At 42.4% G+C, this 17,468-nt stretch overlaps 1 pseudogene, besides 2 other annotated features; it reads left to right on the forward strand.

Annotated features, from left to right (window-relative positions):
• Positions 249–925: an enhancer, noted in NCBI's record as "H3K27ac-H3K4me1 hESC enhancer chr13:73610339-73611015 (GRCh37/hg19 assembly coordinates)". NCBI's record gives its function as "activates a minimal SCP1, AML or CMV promoter by ChIP-STARR-seq in primed H9 embryonic stem cells {active_cell/tissue: H9 hESC(primed)}" and the evidence as "EXISTENCE:reporter gene assay evidence [ECO:0000049][PMID:30033119]".
• On the forward strand, positions 431–895 carry PSMD10P3 (proteasome 26S subunit, non-ATPase, 10 pseudogene 3; annotated as a pseudogene).
• Positions 1,976–2,806: an enhancer, noted in NCBI's record as "NANOG-H3K27ac hESC enhancer chr13:73612066-73612896 (GRCh37/hg19 assembly coordinates)". NCBI's record gives its function as "activates a minimal SCP1, AML or CMV promoter by ChIP-STARR-seq in primed H9 embryonic stem cells {active_cell/tissue: H9 hESC(primed)}" and the evidence as "EXISTENCE:reporter gene assay evidence [ECO:0000049][PMID:30033119]".

A 17,468-nucleotide genomic window follows, 5' to 3' on the forward strand; every position in this document is an offset into this window, starting at 1 on the left:
AGCACGTTTAACATATAAGCTGTTACAAGGTGGTAAAGTTTTTTGTTTTGTTTTTTTTTTTCTTTTTACTCATTAGGACTTCAAGAATGTTTATCCAGAGAAACAATAAGATTTAAAAATGTGTATTCTTAGCTGGGCTCATTGGCTCATGCCTGTAATCCCAGCACTTTGGGAGACTGAGGTGGGCGGATCGCTCGAGCCCAGGAGTTCGAGACCATCCTAGGCAACATGGCAAAACCCCATCTCTACCAAAAATAAAAAAATCAGGCAGGCATGGTGGCACACACCTGTAGTTCCAGCTACTCGGGAGGCTGAGGTGGAAGGATCACCTGAGCCCGGGAGGTCAAGGCTGTGATGAGCCATGATGGTGCCATTGCACCCCAGCCTAGGTGACAGAGTGAGAACCTGTCTCAAAACACACACACACACGAGTTCCTGGGAAAGCAAAATGGAGGGGTGTGTGTCTAACCTAATGGTCTGCAATCTGGCCTACAGCAGGAAGCTGGAAGAGTTCAAGGAGGGTATTCTGGCCGATAAATCCCTAGCTACTAGAACTGACCAGGACAGCAGAACAGCATTGCACTAGGCATGCTCAGCTGGACATAAAGGAATTGATGAATTTTTGTTGCAACTTGGAGTGCCAGTGAATGATAAAGACGATGCAAGTTGGTCTCCTCTCAAATTGCGGCTTCTGCTGGCCGGGATGAGATTGTAAAAGCCCTTCTGGGAAAAGGTGCTCAAGTGAATGCTGTCCATCAAAATGACTGTACTCCCCTACATTATGCAGCTTCCAAAAATAGGCATGAGATTGCTGTCATGTTACTAGAAGGCAGGGCTAATCCTCATGCTAAGGACATTATGAGGCTACAGCATTGCACTAGGCAGCAGCCAAGGGGTTTTGTGAGCATCTAGGTTGGTGACACATCCACATGCCAGAAGAGTGGTGCACCCCAACTTCATGGGAACAGAAGCTCCTATGCTCGGGACCCTTCTGGACCTCACCCTATGTACCTCTTCAGCTGCCCATTCATCTATACCTTTATAATGTCCTTTATAATAAACTGGTAAACAAGAAAAAAAACACACACAAACCCAAAAACAAAAAAATTAGCTGGTCATAGTGGCACATGCCTATAGTCCCAGCTACTCAGGAGGCTGAGGCAGGAGAATCACTTGAGCCCAGGAGGTCAAGGCTGCAGTGAGCCATGATCACACCTGACCCCTGCGCTCCAGCCTAGGGGATGGAGTAAGACCCTGTCTCAAAAACAGCAACAACGACAACCAACCAACCAACATCAACAAAAAACCAACCAACAACAATAAAACAAAAACAAAAATAAAAAAACCCATATATTCTTATTTAAATCTCCAAACTGCCTATTTGGATAATGCTTTAATTTTTAAAATGGGCCTACTCCTGTCCTGGTGTGTCCATTATGTGACCTTCACAAACAGCCTAGTTAGGGATGTGCTATTATCCCGATTTTACATTTTCAGGGAAAGGTCTTGAGTTGTTAAGGAATGTACTCAATGCCTTACAGCTAGAGAAAGGTGAAACTCAAATTCAAATTTTCGCAATCCAAATTCAGTACTCTTTCACTTAACCACCTGTAATGTGTATTTTTCTGCCGTTTATCATTTTAAAAGCTTGCTGACATTTTTTAAAACAAGCAATTTTGAGAAAAAGGAAAGGTTATATTAAAAATATAAGATGACCAGCCGGGCGCGGTGGCTCACGCCTGTAATCCCAGCACTTTGGGAGGCCAAGGTGGGTGGATCTCACCTGAGGTCAGGAGTTTGAGACAGCCCGACCAACACAGTGAAACCCCATCTCTAGTAAAAATACAAAATTAGCCAGGCGTGGTGGCATATGCCTGTAATCCCACCTACTTGGGAAGCTGAGGCAGGAGAATCGCTTGAACCTGGGAGGCAGAGGTTACAGTGAATGAAGATCATGCCATTGCACTCCAGCCTGGGCAACAAGAGCGAAATTCCGTCTCAAAAAAATAAATAAATAAAAATAAAGAAATAAATATATGATATATATGATGACCTTATAGTTTTAATAGTAAAAACCATATTTGGGACTTTTCCCTTTTAACATTACTCCTTAGCATCAGCAGTTTAGGGTTTGGAATGGAAAACAGGCTATACCTTACTATGTTTGGGTCTTGTGGGAAAACAGTCTAATCCTGGAAACAGCAAATTAGCCCACAGCTATACCTGTTTACCTAGTCAATGTGTGTTTGTTCTGTTTGAAGATACTTCAAAAGTAACAACTGTAAAAGAGATTACTGCTTTGATCAGAGAATCTGAATCCCCTTTGTTGACCATGAATGATTGGTCTTTGTGATGTTAATGTTTCTTTTAAGGAATATCAGATCTGTAAATGCACCTTAATTACAGGCAAGCAGTTTTGGAGGGAATTTGTGACAGCATTTTATGGAAAGTCTTTCCTAGTTCCCCTTCAAATCTAATTATAGTAGAAAGATTGTTTTAGGCCAAGCAGCAAAAAGCTATAATTATTAGTGCTTTCATTAATGTTCATGTAGGTCAAAAAAGTTATCTTATGAAGAATAAGATTTAAATCTCAAAAATGCTTAATTTTCCCTATAAAGCACAGAACAACATGCAGAGCCTTAACTGAGATGTCCTTACTAACCTGTTCACCATAATTATGCTGGCAGCTCAGGAGGCCGTTTTACGAAGACTTTACATTTAGAAACAGCACGTAGGAATCCACAACTCAAACAATTTCTGATTCCCAAATTTTATTTTTAAATTTGCAACCAACAGTCCAATTAGAGTACATGAGTACCATATGGAGACAGAAATTTTTTTTCAGTTCTGCTATGTTCATTTTGTGGTATTAGGCTGAGTTTTTTGTCGTAAGAAGAGAGATATATATATCTCTCTTCTTACATGTATATATATATATATATATATATATATATATGTTTTTGTTTGTTTGTTTTTGTTTTTGTTTGTTTTTTGTTTTTTTGTTTTGTTCTGTTTTGAGAAGGAGTCTTGCTCTGTCACCAGACTGGAGTACAGTGGTGCGACCTCGGCTCACTGCAACCTCCGGCTCCCAGGTTCAGGTGATTCTCCTGCCTCAGCCTCCTGAGTAGTTGGGACAACAGGCATATGCCACCACACCCAGCTAATTTTTGTATTTTTAGTACAGATGGGGTTTCACCATGTTGGCCAGGATGGTCTTGATCTCTTGACCTTGTGATCCACCTGCCTCAGCCCCCCAAAGTGCTGGGATTACAGGTGTGAGCCACTTTACCCGGCTGAAGACATATGTTAATACAGAATGTTAGATGTTGCTGAAGATGTGAGGAAACAGAATTGCTAAACTGCAGATAGGGTGATTTACTTAGACATGAGGAAGAATTTCTCAACAGCAGAGTGAAATCTTATGTGGAGGTGGTTTGAAAGTTGCATACTTTATGAAATAGTATGTGGCAAAGACTGGGCACACAGCAAGGCCTGTTCTAAGAGGAACATTTCAATTGATTGCATTTGTTACTGTACATGGTATTAAGTCCCAGAATGGGATTTTTCTACTCACCTGGTTGCAATGCTAATAATGACCACCATTCAGCATTGTATACACCAAGTACTTACCAACTGCTACCTTCCAAGGATTTTTTTCAATATTATGTTAACATTTAAACTTATCATTTAAAAAGCTATGAATAGAGCCAGCCTCGCCTGTGTATGAGGAAAAATGATATCTCTGAGGTTTAAAGCATACTGAATTAACACATTCCAAGTCATTTCTTCTTCTTCTTGTTTTTTTTTCCTAATTATGGCAGCAATTAGCTTTGCAGCATTGCATTCATTCCAAACAGCAGGGATGGAAAACAATAATCCTGTTTACCTGAAGCTGGAGAGAGTGTACCTAGCTTTGTTCCCTCCCCAGCCTAATCTAAATGCTTTGCTAGGTGCCATCCCACACAATAGACTGTGACTGAGTCACTAGCAAACCCTCTCCCTCACCTGGTTAATTCACTTGTCACTGTAAACCTCTGCAAGGTCAAGAAATAACAGATAACAGGTCATTTCCAACTTAATAAGGTGGCACATTTTACTTACATTCACTTAAAAAGATAGAGCCCTCAGATATATGAATACCTGTTTTAAAAAAATCGTTCGATCTGTTAAAATTATCACAGGGAAAATAACAGAACTCTCTTGGATTGTTCTTGACAATTAATGGAATAGAAAGGTGGCGATTGTAAATGCTTTTTTTTTTTTTTTGTCTTTGCAGTAATGGAGAAGAGTAAATTATTAAATGGACACATTATTTACGTTTGAAAAAAAGCTGCATCTCATGCTAGGAAAATAGGTTACAGGCAATTTTGCATTATAATGTGAACATGTCATTAGTTTTAATTTTCCACACCAAAGATTGTAGGGTAATTTGCTTTCATTAGAATGGAGTAGTTTTTCCTCTACATACATTATCTTTCAAACCTCTATTGCCTCCATGAGAGATTTTAGTTCTTCTTTTCTTAATTTGTAAGAAAAATAGTCTTGATTTTTCTAAGTATCTAAATATTGTGGCAAAAGTTTTATTGCATATAACAAGAGCTGAAACACAGGGTGAACGCACTGCAAATGTGTCATAACCATTGCACAATGCCAAATATCATAATATATGAAGGTATACCACCACCATTTGACATGTTTTAGTGTTGTAGGGCACTAAGTGTACACAGTGTATTTCTCTGCTGTAAAATGTAGGCTACTATAGAGGAAGAACAGTAATCAGTTACACATTAACCATAAAAGGTCATTTCTTGCGGCAAATGATATGTTGATCAAGCAATATTTGTCAGTAGACCTGAGTCTTACTACTGAATGACGCTCATGAAGAAAACCATTGTCCAGTGGGACATCATCATATATGCAAATCATCCATTTGTTTGGATGGTTTAAATATCATCAAGTCTTTATCTTCGCTTCTATAATGTAACTCACTGACTTTTCAGCTAATCAATCCCTGATGCTACATTTTTCTGTTAACTTACTATGCTGCACAGTCAAACAATGATTAATCTCCTAATGTTAACTATGCGATAAGAAAAATATTAAAAGAAAATGAATGACGTATTCACTTGTGTTACAAAATTGTCTATAAACTAGTTTCCCAGCATGAGCTGTGGTTTATTTTCAAACTTAAATAACTTGTCTATGTAACCTTATCTTCCAGGTACTTCCTGCAAACTTCATACATTATGCAATCAAGCCCATAAATATAGGTAGAAGTTAACTTGAATGGCTGAAACAGAGTTAACCACACACATGTAGTTAGAGCGTTATCATTTCTGCCATAAACCTCTCCCTTTTAAGAGATTTACCAAGCTATCATAAAAAATGTGTTATTGCCTGTATCTTTGCAAAACATGAGTTCCTATGAAGTGACTTGCCAGCCTGGGCAACAAAGACAGACCTTGTCTCTACAAAAAAATTTAAAAATTAGCCAGACGCAGTGGTATGCGCCTGTAGTCCTTGCTACACTCAGGAGGCTGAGGCAAGAGGATTGCTTGAGCCCAGGAGTTCCAGGCTGCAGTGAGCTATGATTGCGCCACTGCACGCCAGCTTAGATACCAAAGAAAGATCCCATCTTAAAAAAAATGTGACTTGGCTTCTTTTTTTTTTTTTTTTTTTTTTTTTGACGGAGTCTTGCTCTGTCACCCAAGCTGGAGTACAGTGGCACGATCTTGGCTCACTGCAATCTCCGCCTCCCAGGTTCAAGCGCTTCTCCTGCCTCAGCCTCCCGAGTAGCTGAGACCACAAGAGTCCAACACCACGTCCGGCTAATTTTTGTATTTTTAGTAGAGACAGGGTTTTACCATATTGGCCAGGCTGGTCTCGAACTCATGACTTTGTGATCTACCTGCCTCAGCCTCCCAAAGTGCTGGGATTACAGGTGTGAGCCACCGCACCCAGCCGACTTGGCTTCTTAAACATTAAACATACTGGATTGTTGCTACATGTCACAATGGCCAGTGTGTTTGTATACTGATATCACTGAATTGAGGTGGCACTGGTATTAAGTATCCTCTCTTTAGTTTTTGTAAATTTCTGAAAAATTAACATATTATAACTCCAATGATGACATATTACCAGGATCATACAAACAAATGCATTCAACCACCTCACCAAACAAACAAGGCGAAGTGTAAACCAGGATGCTTTATGGAGGAAAAAAATGAATAGACTTAATCAAATATTCATGGTGAGAGGGATAGAGATTTTCCAGAGACATATCAACCGAAAATAATTGGGCAGGAAAATTGAAAGGATCAGACTTTCTTTCATAAGTTGACTTTGTAAAATGCTACATAGCAAGCATCACATTGATCATTCTGCTGGTTCCTTTTCAGGAGCTGCTGCCAGTGCTTTGTATCTTACAGCATATGTGGAGTAGATTAAGAAACTAAACTCAGTTATTGTGAGGTTCTAACATTTTTTAAACAGGTAAACACAAGGCCTCTCTTTCTCTTTGTATCTTTATTTTATTTTATTTGTATTATTGTTTTAAAATTTATTATTCTTTTTTTTTTTTTTTTTTTTTTGAGATGGAGTCTCGCTCTGTCGCCCAGGCTGGAGTGCAGTGGCGCAGTCTCTGCTCATTGCAAGCTCTGCCTCCCGGGTTCATGCCATTCTCCTGCCTCAGCCTCCCGAGTAGCTGGGACTACAGGCGCCTGCCACCACGCCTGGCTAATTTTTTGTATTTTCAGTAGAGACAGAGTTTCACCATGTTAGCCAGGATGGTCTCGATCTCCTGATCTCGTGATCCACCCACCTCGGCCTCCCAAAGTGCTGGGATTACAGGCGTGAGCCACCGCGCCTGGCCTTATTATTCATTTTTTAAAATAGAGACAAGGTCTTGCTATGTTGGCCTGGCTGGTCTCAAACTTGTGGCCTCAAGCAATCCTCTTGCCTCAGCCACCGAAACTGCTGGGATTACAGGCGTGAGCCACCATGCCCAGCCTAGAGATCTTCTTGTGTCAGTACAGATATAGACACTTTATTCTGTTAAAATTGCTGAATAGGCCAGGTGCGGTGGCTCACGCCTGTAATCCCAACACTTTGGGAGGCCGAGGCAGGCAGATCATGAGGTCAGGAGTTCAAGACCAACCTGGCCAACATGGTGAAACTCCATCTCTACTAAAAATACAAAAATTAGCTGGGCGTGGTGGCGCGTGCCCGTAATCCCAGCTACTTGGGAGGCAGAGGCAGGAGAATCGCTTGAACCTGGGAGGCGGAGGTTGCAGTGAGCCAAGAGTGTACCACTGCACTCCAGCCTGGTGGGGGTTGCAGTGAGCCGAGACCGCGCCACTGCACTCCAGCCTGGTGACAGAGCCAGACTCCATCTCCAACAAAAAAAAAATTGCTGAATAGTAGTACATGGTGTGGATGTACTAGAGTTTACTTAATCATTTACTTGATCATTACATACTTACTGTTGGATATTTAGATGGCTGCTGATTTTTCATTATGACAAACAGTGCTGCAATAAACATTCTGCTATGCCTATCTTTGTGCACATTTGAATAATTTTGAGGAACAAATTCTTAAAAATGGAATGTCAAAGTGTATGACACTTTTATGTGTGTGTGTGTGTATGCATATATATATTTTTTTATTTTTTATTTTTGTAAAGATGGGGTTTTGCCCATGTTGCTCAGGCTGGTCTCAAACTCCTGAGCTCAAGCAGTTCACCCACCTCAGCCTCCCAAAGTGCTAGGATTAAAGGTGTGAGTCGCCACACCCAGCCGAAATTTTATATTTAACAGATCCATGAAATTGCCCTCTGTACAGATATATATTTTACAAAGTCCACAAGAAGTTATATTTTTACTGACATTATGAGACTTTCAGTTTCCTCTACATCCTCCTGGAATCTTTCTCATTTTTGTACATCAGTTGAACAAAATGCTATTCCATTACTGTTTTAATTTGCATTTTCCTCATAGTCAGGGGGTTGGAAATCTTTTCCTATGTTTATTGGCCATTTGTATGTCTTTTTTGTGAATTGCCTATTTACTCCTATTGCCTAATTTTTTGTTTGTCGCATTATCTTTTTTTTTTTTTTTTTTTTTGAGATGGAGTTTTGCTCGTTGCCCAGGCTGGAGTGCAATGGCACGATCTTGGCTGACCACAGCCTCCGCCTCCTGGGTTCAAACAATTCTCCTGCCTCAGCCTCCCAAGTAGCTGGGATTACAGGCACCCACCACCACACCTGGCTAATTTTTTTTTTTCTTCCTGAGATGGAGTCTCGTTCTGTCACCAGGCTGGAGTGCAGTGGCGTGATCTCAGCTCACTGCAACCTCCACCTCCTGGGTTTAGGTGATTCTCCTGCCTCAGCCTCCCTAGTAGCTGGGATTACAGGCATGTGCCACCACACCCAGCTAATTTTTTTGTATTTTTAGTAGAGACGGTGTTTCACCGTGTTGGCCAGGATGGTTTCAATCTCTTGACCTTGTGATCTGCCCACCTCAGTCTCCCAAAGTGTTGGGATTACAGGCGTGAGCCACTGCGCCCGGCTAATTTTTGTATTTTTAGTAGAGACAGGGTTTCTCCATGTTGGTCAGGCGGGTCTCGAACTCCTGACCTCAGGTGATCCACCTGCCTCAGCCTCCCAAAGTGCTGGGATTACATGCGTGAGCCACTATGCCTGGCCAGTTTATCTTTTTCTTTAAATAGCTTTTTAAAGAATGTCTTTTGTGATTGTGAATATTAATCTTTTGCTGCAAATAATTTCTCCTAGTCACTTACTATTTTGGGAACTTGAGGGTAGAGGGGTCACTTATCATTTAACTTTTTTTTTTTTGTCAGGGGATAGAGTCTCACTCTGTCACCCAGGCTGGAGAGAATGGTGAGATCACAGCTCACTGTAGCCTCAACCTGATAGGCTCAAGCAATCCTCCTGCCTCAGCCTCCCAAGTAGCCAGGACTACAAGCATGAGCCACTGCACCTGGCTATGTCTTTTAACTTTATGATCACACTGATTCACAAGACTTTCCATTATGTTAGAAATTCTCCTGGACTTTATTACATAAATTATTTACACATCATGGAGAAATCTGATTTGATCCATTTAGGGGCTAATTGTTCTCATCAATTTATGTAATCTGTGTTGAACCCTAAGCACCAAGCTAGTTCTTGCCCGGAATTCCCTCCGCTTTCCTCCTATCTACCGTTTTGCAGTTTGCAGAGACTTGCGCTTTCTTTAAGGGTTAATCCAAGTATCAAAGTCCACAGTGATCTCTCTCTTCCTGGTTCACCATGCATTTGGGACATGATAAAGTTTTGTATTTTGCATGTGTATATATTGTAACTTAAACTAGATGGGATTCTATTCAACTGAAGCAGCTTCGCTTTTGTCTGGACTCTCAGTGTTTTTACTCATAGGAGTCCAGTACGTATCTGTTGGTTGTTTTAAAAATACTTTATCATAGGAAAATCTTCAATGACTCCTTTCTCCCTCATACATACACGCTGTGGGCAATTTGCATCGGCATCTCTTCAATCATCCTTTGTGTGTGCTCTGTCTTCTGTTGCCACGTGCCATTAGGCCACCCTGCTCATTATGTCTGGGATTCCAAACCTCAACAATAATGTTGTGAACAGTGTTAAGGATCTCATTTCTGCCGGGCGCGGTGGCTCACACCTGTAATCCCAGCACTTTGGGAGGCCGAGGGGGGCGGATCACAAGGTCAGGAGTTCGAGACCATCCTGCCGAACATGGTGAAACCCCATCTCTACTAAAAATACAAAAAAAAAAAAAAATTAGCCGGGGGTGGTGGCAGACGCCTGTAGTCCCAGCTACTCGGGAGGCTGAGGCAGGAGAATGGCGTGAACCCAGGAGGTGGAGCTTGCAGTGAGTCGAGATCGCACCACTGCACTGCAGCCTGGGCGACAGAGCAAGACTCTGTCTCAAACAAAAAAAAAAAAAAAAAAGGATCCCATTTCCTCAAAACGTTCTGGTGGCATAAAAAGAAGAATCTAGTATTTTTCACATTTGAAAGATATATCTTTAAAGTCCAACTGGTGCCTGGCATGGGTCTTTATTTCATGCTACCTCAGATCTGCCTTCTCAAACACATTGCAGAGCGCGATGTCGGGATGGCCCCACTAAGATCAAACCCCATGGTCCTTGACAGCAGGTTTTTTGGCTTTTCAAAATTAAACCCAGGTTGGGCACGGTGGCTCACGCCTGTAATTCCAGCACTTTGGGAGGCCAAGGCGGGCGGATCACGACGTCAGGAGTTCAAGACCAGCCTGGCCAACATAGTGAAACCTCGTCTCTACTAAAAATACAAAAATTACCCAGTCATGGTGGCACATGCCTGTAGTCCCAGCTACTTGGGAGGCTGAGGCAGGAGAATCGCTTGAACCCGGGAGGTGGAGGTTGCAGTGAGCCGAGATCGCACCATTGCACTCCAGCTTGGGCAACAGAGTGAGACTTCATCTCAAAAACAAAAACAAAAACAAAAACAAAAAACACCTAATCAAAACTACATTAAAATAAAATTGATATTTTATTGTTTGAATTGTGCATATTATTACCACTGCCTCTACTATGTTTACCTTTTTTTTTTTTTTTTTTTGAGACAGAGTCTTGCTCTGTCGCCCAGGCTGGAGTGCAGTGGCGCCATCTCGGCTCACTGCAAGCTCCGCCTCCCGGGTTCAAGCAATTCTCCTGCCTCAGCCTCCCAAGTAGCTGGGACTACAGGCTCCCGCCACCACACCTGGCTAATTTTTTGTATTTTTAGTACAGACACAGTTTCACTGTGTTAGCCAGGATGGTCTCGATCTCATGACCTCGTGATCTGCCTGCCTTGGCCTCCTAAAGTGCTGGGATTACAGGTGTGACCCACCGCGCCCGGCCTTTTTTTTTTTTTTCTTGTGACGGAGTATCACTCTTGTTGCCCAGGCTGGAGTGCAATGGCATGACTTTGGCTCACTGCAACCTCTGCCTCCCGGGTTCAAGAGATTCCCCTGCCTCAGCTTCCTTAGTAGCTGGGATTACAAGTGCCCACTACCACTCCCAGCTAATTTTTTTGTATTTTTAGTGGAGATGGGGTTTCACCATGTTGGCCAGGCTGGTCTCAAACTCCTGACCTCAAGTGAGCCACCTGCCTTGGCCTCCCAAAGTGCTGGGATTATAGGCATGAGCCACCGCCCCCGGCCTATCCTAATATTTTTTAAAGACATAACGGCAGTAATGTTCTTTCTGACATTTTCATTTAAAGCTCTGGAGCCTCGTGTGTGTGTGTGTGTGTGTGTGTGTGTGTGTGTGTGTGTGTTGTCTTCATTCTCATACATTCAAAGCATTTAGTGTGCTACACGGCAGAAACTGCACCATGGGTGTAGAATAAAAACAAGTTTGATAACTGTGGTAACTGTGGTGGCACCTAAGACATCGAGGCCATCATGACAGAGAAATGACTAGTCCATGAAGACAGAGGAAAGGGATGTGTTTGAACTGAGATGGAATTGCTTGTGTGGATTAGTGCTGGGTTTTCTTCAAGTTAACTTTCAACCTTCTATAAATACAAATCCTCGAAGACCAGTCCTAGACAGCAGAATTTCATCTGTTAAAATAAAGTCTTCAAACGTTATTCCTTTTATTGTTTTTAGTTTTATTTCACAATGATTTCAAACCTACAGAAAAAGTTGCAAGAATAATACAAAGAATTCCCATTCTTTTTTTTTTTTTTTTTTTTTTGAGACGGAGTCTTGCTCTGTCGCCCACACTGGAGTGCAGTGGCACGATCTTGGCTCACTGCAACCTCTGCTTCCCAGGTTCAAGGGATTCTCCGGCCTCAGCCTCCCGAGTAGCTGGGATTACAGGCACACACTACCATGTCTGGCTAAACTTTTTTTTTTTTTAAGAATTCCCATATACTTTCATCCTGATTTGCTAATCATTAATATTTTGCCACATCTGCCTCTCTCTCTGTATATCTGTTTCTATGTCTGTTTATATCTCTCAGTATGCATATAATACACTCTCACAGACACACATACACACACAGACTTTTTTCTCCTGATTTACAGTTAATTGCTCACATCATGGCCTTTACCTCCTTTGAATAATCAGGGTGTGTATCCTTAAAAAAAGGATATTCTCTTATATAACTAGTTATTTTTATTTTGTTTGTTTGTTTGGTGGTTTTTTGTTTGTTTTTTTTTTTTTTTTTGAGACAGAGTCTCACTGTCGCCCAGGCTGGAGCGCAGTGGCATGATTTCTGCTCACTGCAAGCTCTGCCTCCCAACTTCAAGCAATTCTCCTGTTTCAGCCTCTGGAGTAGCTGGGATTACAGGCACCTACCCCTACTCCTGGCTAATTTTTGTATTTTTTAGTAGAGGCGGGGTTTCACCATGTTGGCCAGGCTGTTCTTGACTCCTGACCTCAAGTGATCCACTCACCTCAGACTCCCAAAGTGCCTAGATTACAGGCATGAGCCACCGTGCCCAGCCCTCTTACACACTAGTTATATTGTCAAGTTCAGTCATGTAGCATTGGTTTATTGTCTAATATACAGTTCATACTCAAATTTTGCTAATAACCCCAAAATATTTATTGTGCCCTTCATCTAAACCAAACCCAGGATTACCCATTTCTTTAAAAAGGAACAGTGCCTGACTGGGCATGGTGGCTTATACCTGTAATCCTAGCACTTTGGGGGCAGGTGGATCACTTGAGGTTAGGAGTTCAAGACCAGCCTGACTAACATGGTGAAACTCTGTCTTTACTAAAAAATACAAAAGTTAGCCAGGTGTGGTGGTGCATGCCTGTAATCCCAACTACTTGGGAGGCTGAGGCAGGAGAATCACTTGAACCCAGGAGGCAGAGGTTGCAGTGAGCTGAGATCACTCCACTGCACTCCAGCTTGGGTGACAGAGGGAGACTCTGTCTCACAAAAACAAACAAAACAAAACAGTCCCTGAACTTTTCTTTTTCTCTTACGACATCTACATTTTTTCAAAGAGTGGAAGCCACTCGTTTATAGAATGTTCCTCAATTGGGGTTTGTCTTATCTCTCTTCATGATTAGATTCACGTTACGAATTTTTTGTAGAAATTTATGTACATAAATTCCTCATTATTTCTCAGTTCACATCAGGATATTGATTTTGCATCCTTCTCAGTTCACACTGGGAAACTCATAATGTGGCAAACTCATAATGTGACAATGACAAACTCATTTTGTCGTTTTTTTTAAAAAAAAAACTTTCATTAGAGAGATAGTATTTCACTCTGTTGCCTAGGCTAGAGCACAGTGGTGTGATCTAAGCTCACTGCAGCCTTGAACTTCTGGGCTTAAGTGAACCTCCTGCCTTAGCCTCCCAAGTAGCTCGGACTACAGGTGCACACTACCATGCCTGGCAATTTTTTTTTTTTGGTTTATTTTTTGTAGAGATGAGATCTCAGCATGTTGCCCAGGCTGGTCTTGAACTCCTAGGCTCAAGCAATCCTCCTGCCTCAGCCTCTCAAAGCATTAAGATTACAGGCATGAGCTACTGCACCCAGCCAGTTTGTCCTATTGGTGGTGATCTTGATTTTGATCACTTGTTTAAGGTAGTGTAGGCCAGGCTCTTCCATTGTTATCATTGGTTTCCATTGAAATTAATACCTCATCTGTGGGGGAAATACCTTAAGACTATGTAAATGTAGCCTGTTCCTCTTCTGAATTTCATCCAGTCATTTTAGTATCCATTGATTCTTGCTTGAATTAATTAATTAATTAATACTACGATGGCTACAAAATGGTGATTTTTCTTTTTCTTTTCTTTTCTTTTTCTTTTTCTTTTTTCTTTTCTCTTTTTTTTTTTTTTTTTTTTGAGATGGGGTCTTGCTCTGTTGCCAGGCTGGAGTGCAATGGCGCAATCTCGGCTCACTGCAACCTCCGACTCCCTGGTTCAAGTAATTCTCCTGCCTCAGCCTCCTGATTAGCTGGGATTACAGGCACATGCCACCATGACCAGCTAGTTTTTGTATTTTTAGTAGAGACAGGGTTTTACCATGTTGGCCAGGATGGTCTCGATCTCCTGACCTCGTGATCCGCCTGCCTTGGCCTCCCAAAGTGCTGGGATTACAGGCGTGAGTCATTTTTCTAACTCTACTATTTCTTCTTCTATTGTTAGTTGACATTCTATCACATTTTTATTTTTTAATTTATTTACTTTGAAACAGGGTCTTGTTCTGTCACCCAGGCTGGAGTGCAGTGGTGCGATCATCATAGCTCACTGAAGTGTTGACCTCCCAAACTCAAGCGATCCTCCCAACCTTCACCTCCTGAGTAGCTGGGACTATAGGCAAATGCCACCAGCCCAACTAATTTATTTATTTATTTTTATTTTGGAGAGATGGGGTCTCACTATATTGCCCAGGCTGGTCTTGAACTTTTGAGCTCAAGCCACCCTCCCACCTGGGCCTCCCAAAATGCTGGGATCACAGGCATGAGCCATTGTGCATAACCTCAAACTTTTATTTTTAATTTTACCTCTTATGTCTATTACGAATAAGATGGGGTTCACCAAGTATTGCTTGTCTATTTTGTGTGGGACCCTAGGAAGCATCAGGAGGAACACAAAGATAAGATCATTTGTTCCCTACAGGGCCACTCGATTTGTTGGGGGCAACAGGCATAAGGCAGATGGTGAGAAGTGCTTTACTGGGGATACAAAGGGAAAGAGAAGAAACCAACAGAGAGGGTAATTCTTTCTGGGAGAGCTGGTGTGACCCTGGGAGAAAGGTAGGCTTACAGCCGTGCCTTGTGGTATATATATGGTCTCACTCTGTCTCCCAGGTTGGAGTGCAGTGGCGCGACTTCGGTTCACTGCAGCCTCTGCCTCCCAGGCTCAAGCAATTCTCCTGCTTCAGCCTCCCGAGTAGCTGGGACCAAAGGTGCGTGCCACCGCACCCAGCTAATTTTTGTATTTTTAGTAGAGACGGGGTTTTGCCAAGTTTGCCAGGCTGGTCTTAAACTCCTGACCTCAAGTGATCCACCCACCTCGGCCTCCCAAAGTGCTGGGATTACGGGCGAGAGTCACCAGGCCCAGCCTGAGACTGGGTAATTGATAAAGGAAAAAGGTTTAATGGACTCAGAATTCCACATGGCTGGGAAGGCCTCACAGTCATGGCAGAAGATGAAGGAGGAGCAAAGAGACTTCTTACACGGTGGCGGGCAAGAGAGAGCTGGTGCAGGGGGAACTCCCCTTTATAAAACCATCAGATCTCATGAGACTTATTCACTATTACAAAAAACAGCACGGGAAAGACCCGTTCCCATGATTCAATTACCTCCCACCGAGTTTCTCCCACGACACGTGGGAATTATGGGAGCTACAATTCAACATGAGATTTAGGTGGGGACACAGCCAAATAATATCAATGATGTATGTATTCAAAGAAAGGCATTAGAGTTGGAGGGAACCGAAGGGGCTTTTGGGAAATTACAAATAATCCAAACGGTTAGAGCCTAAGGTTCATGGGAGAAGAGCAGGGGAGGGATAGTGAGATACGAAGTTGGGAAGATAGGCTGGGGTCAGCACAAGGTCCCAGGCTGAGGAGTTTGAACTTCCTTCCTCACTGAGGAAAATAATGAAACATATCTGAGAAGCAAGGTTACCTATCATCTGAGAAGCAAGGTTACCTATCAGGCGATGCTTACAGTGCTTAGGGCAGGGACTATATCTTATTCATCCTTGTATTTCTTTTTTTTTTTTTTTCTGAGATGGAGTCTCTCTCTGCCGCCCAGGCTGGAGTGCACTGGCGTGATCTCAGCTCACTGCAAGCTCCGCCTCCCGGGTTCACGCCATTCTCCTGCCTTAGCCTCCCGAGTAGCTGGGATTACAGGCGCCCATCACCACGCCCGGCTAATTTTTTGTATTTTTAGTAGAGACGGGGTTTCACGGTGTTAGCCAGGATGGTTTCGATCTCCGGACCTTGTGATTCACCCACCTCAGCCTCCCAAAGTGCTGGGATTACAGGCGTGAGCCACCGTGCCCAGCTCATCTTTTTATTTCTAAGACCTGCAACAGTGCTCTGCATAGAGCACTGTTGAACAGAGTGTTCAAAAAATGTTTGCAGGCACCAATGCTCCGAATAATTTAGAATAAAGACTGGTGTATATGTATGTTTTATGTGTGAGTTGTGGTCACGACAGTGGGGAGCTGGGGGGTGGGAACGGGTCCTTAGAAATTCAGCCGTCTACTGAATATTTAATAGAAAATGTTTTATTTTTGAGACAGGGTCTTGCTCTGTTGCCCAGGCTGGAATGCAGTGGCACAATCATGGCTCACTGTAACCTCAAACTCTTGAGTTCAAGCAATCTTCTTGCCTCAGCTTCCCAAGTAGCTGGGACTACAGGCGTGTGCCACCACACCTGGCTAGTTTCTTCTTTTTACTCGTTGCAGAGACTGGGGTCTTGCTATGTTGCATAGGCTGGTCTTGAACTCCTGGCTTTAAGCAATCCTCCCACTTCAGCCTTTCAAAGCATTGGGATAATAGGTGTGAGCCATCTTGCTGCGCCTCTAGAATATGTTTTAAATATCAAGTTTGTAGACTACCATCCCCACCCTCCTTCCACTTTAATTTCTGAAATCTCAGTAACCAAATTTGGGAATAACTTTTGAACAACTTTATGTTCCGGAAAAGAGAACAAGGCTCTTAGAGAAACAATAGTATGAGCTGGGCATGGTGGCTCAAGCCTGTAATCTCAGAACTTTGAGAGGCTGAGGCAGGAGGATTGCTTGAGCTCAGGAGTTCGAGACCATCCTGGGCCACACAGAGAAACCCCGTTTCCACAAAAAATAAAAAAATTTAGCTTGACGTGGTGGGGCCTGTGGTCCCACCTACTGGAGAAACTGAGGTGGGAGGATCACTTGAACCCAGGAGGCTGGAGCTGCAGTGAGCCATGTTTGTGTCACTGCACTGCAGCCTGAGCAACACAGCAAGACCCTGTCTCAAAAAAAAAAAAAAAAAAAGCGAGAGAGAAAGAAAGATAACATCCCATTTGAAACTATTTCATGCCAAATCTTCTATGTGAGTATTTTAGAATTTAAAAACCCAAACACAAACACCTCTTTAAAGATGCATATAAACTTTACCTGGTTTTAAGAGTCTATGCATTTTGTCAAATCAGTGTAAGCAGCCTATTTTATTTAATATGAGAAAACAGAGCAACAAAGTAAAATGAGATACCCAAAATAACAGAGTAAAAATAAGTGTAGAGGAAGTCTTGCTGATCACTTAGGAAATGAATTAAAGCATATTTATATTTCAGACATTCCCTATATTATCCCTTTTGAACTTCAAACTCCCCTTTGTAATCTCTCTTCAGCTTCTTCATTCTGCAGTGAAATTCCTGAAAATCTAGCAGCTTGGTTAAGAAAGTTTACATGTTTTCCCAGTACAGAGTATTGGCAAGTTGTAG

The sequence above is a fragment of the Homo sapiens genome, chromosome 13 (genome assembly GCF_000001405.40).
Source record: "Homo sapiens chromosome 13, GRCh38.p14 Primary Assembly".
NCBI classification, from domain to species: Eukaryota; Metazoa; Chordata; class Mammalia; order Primates; family Hominidae; genus Homo; species Homo sapiens.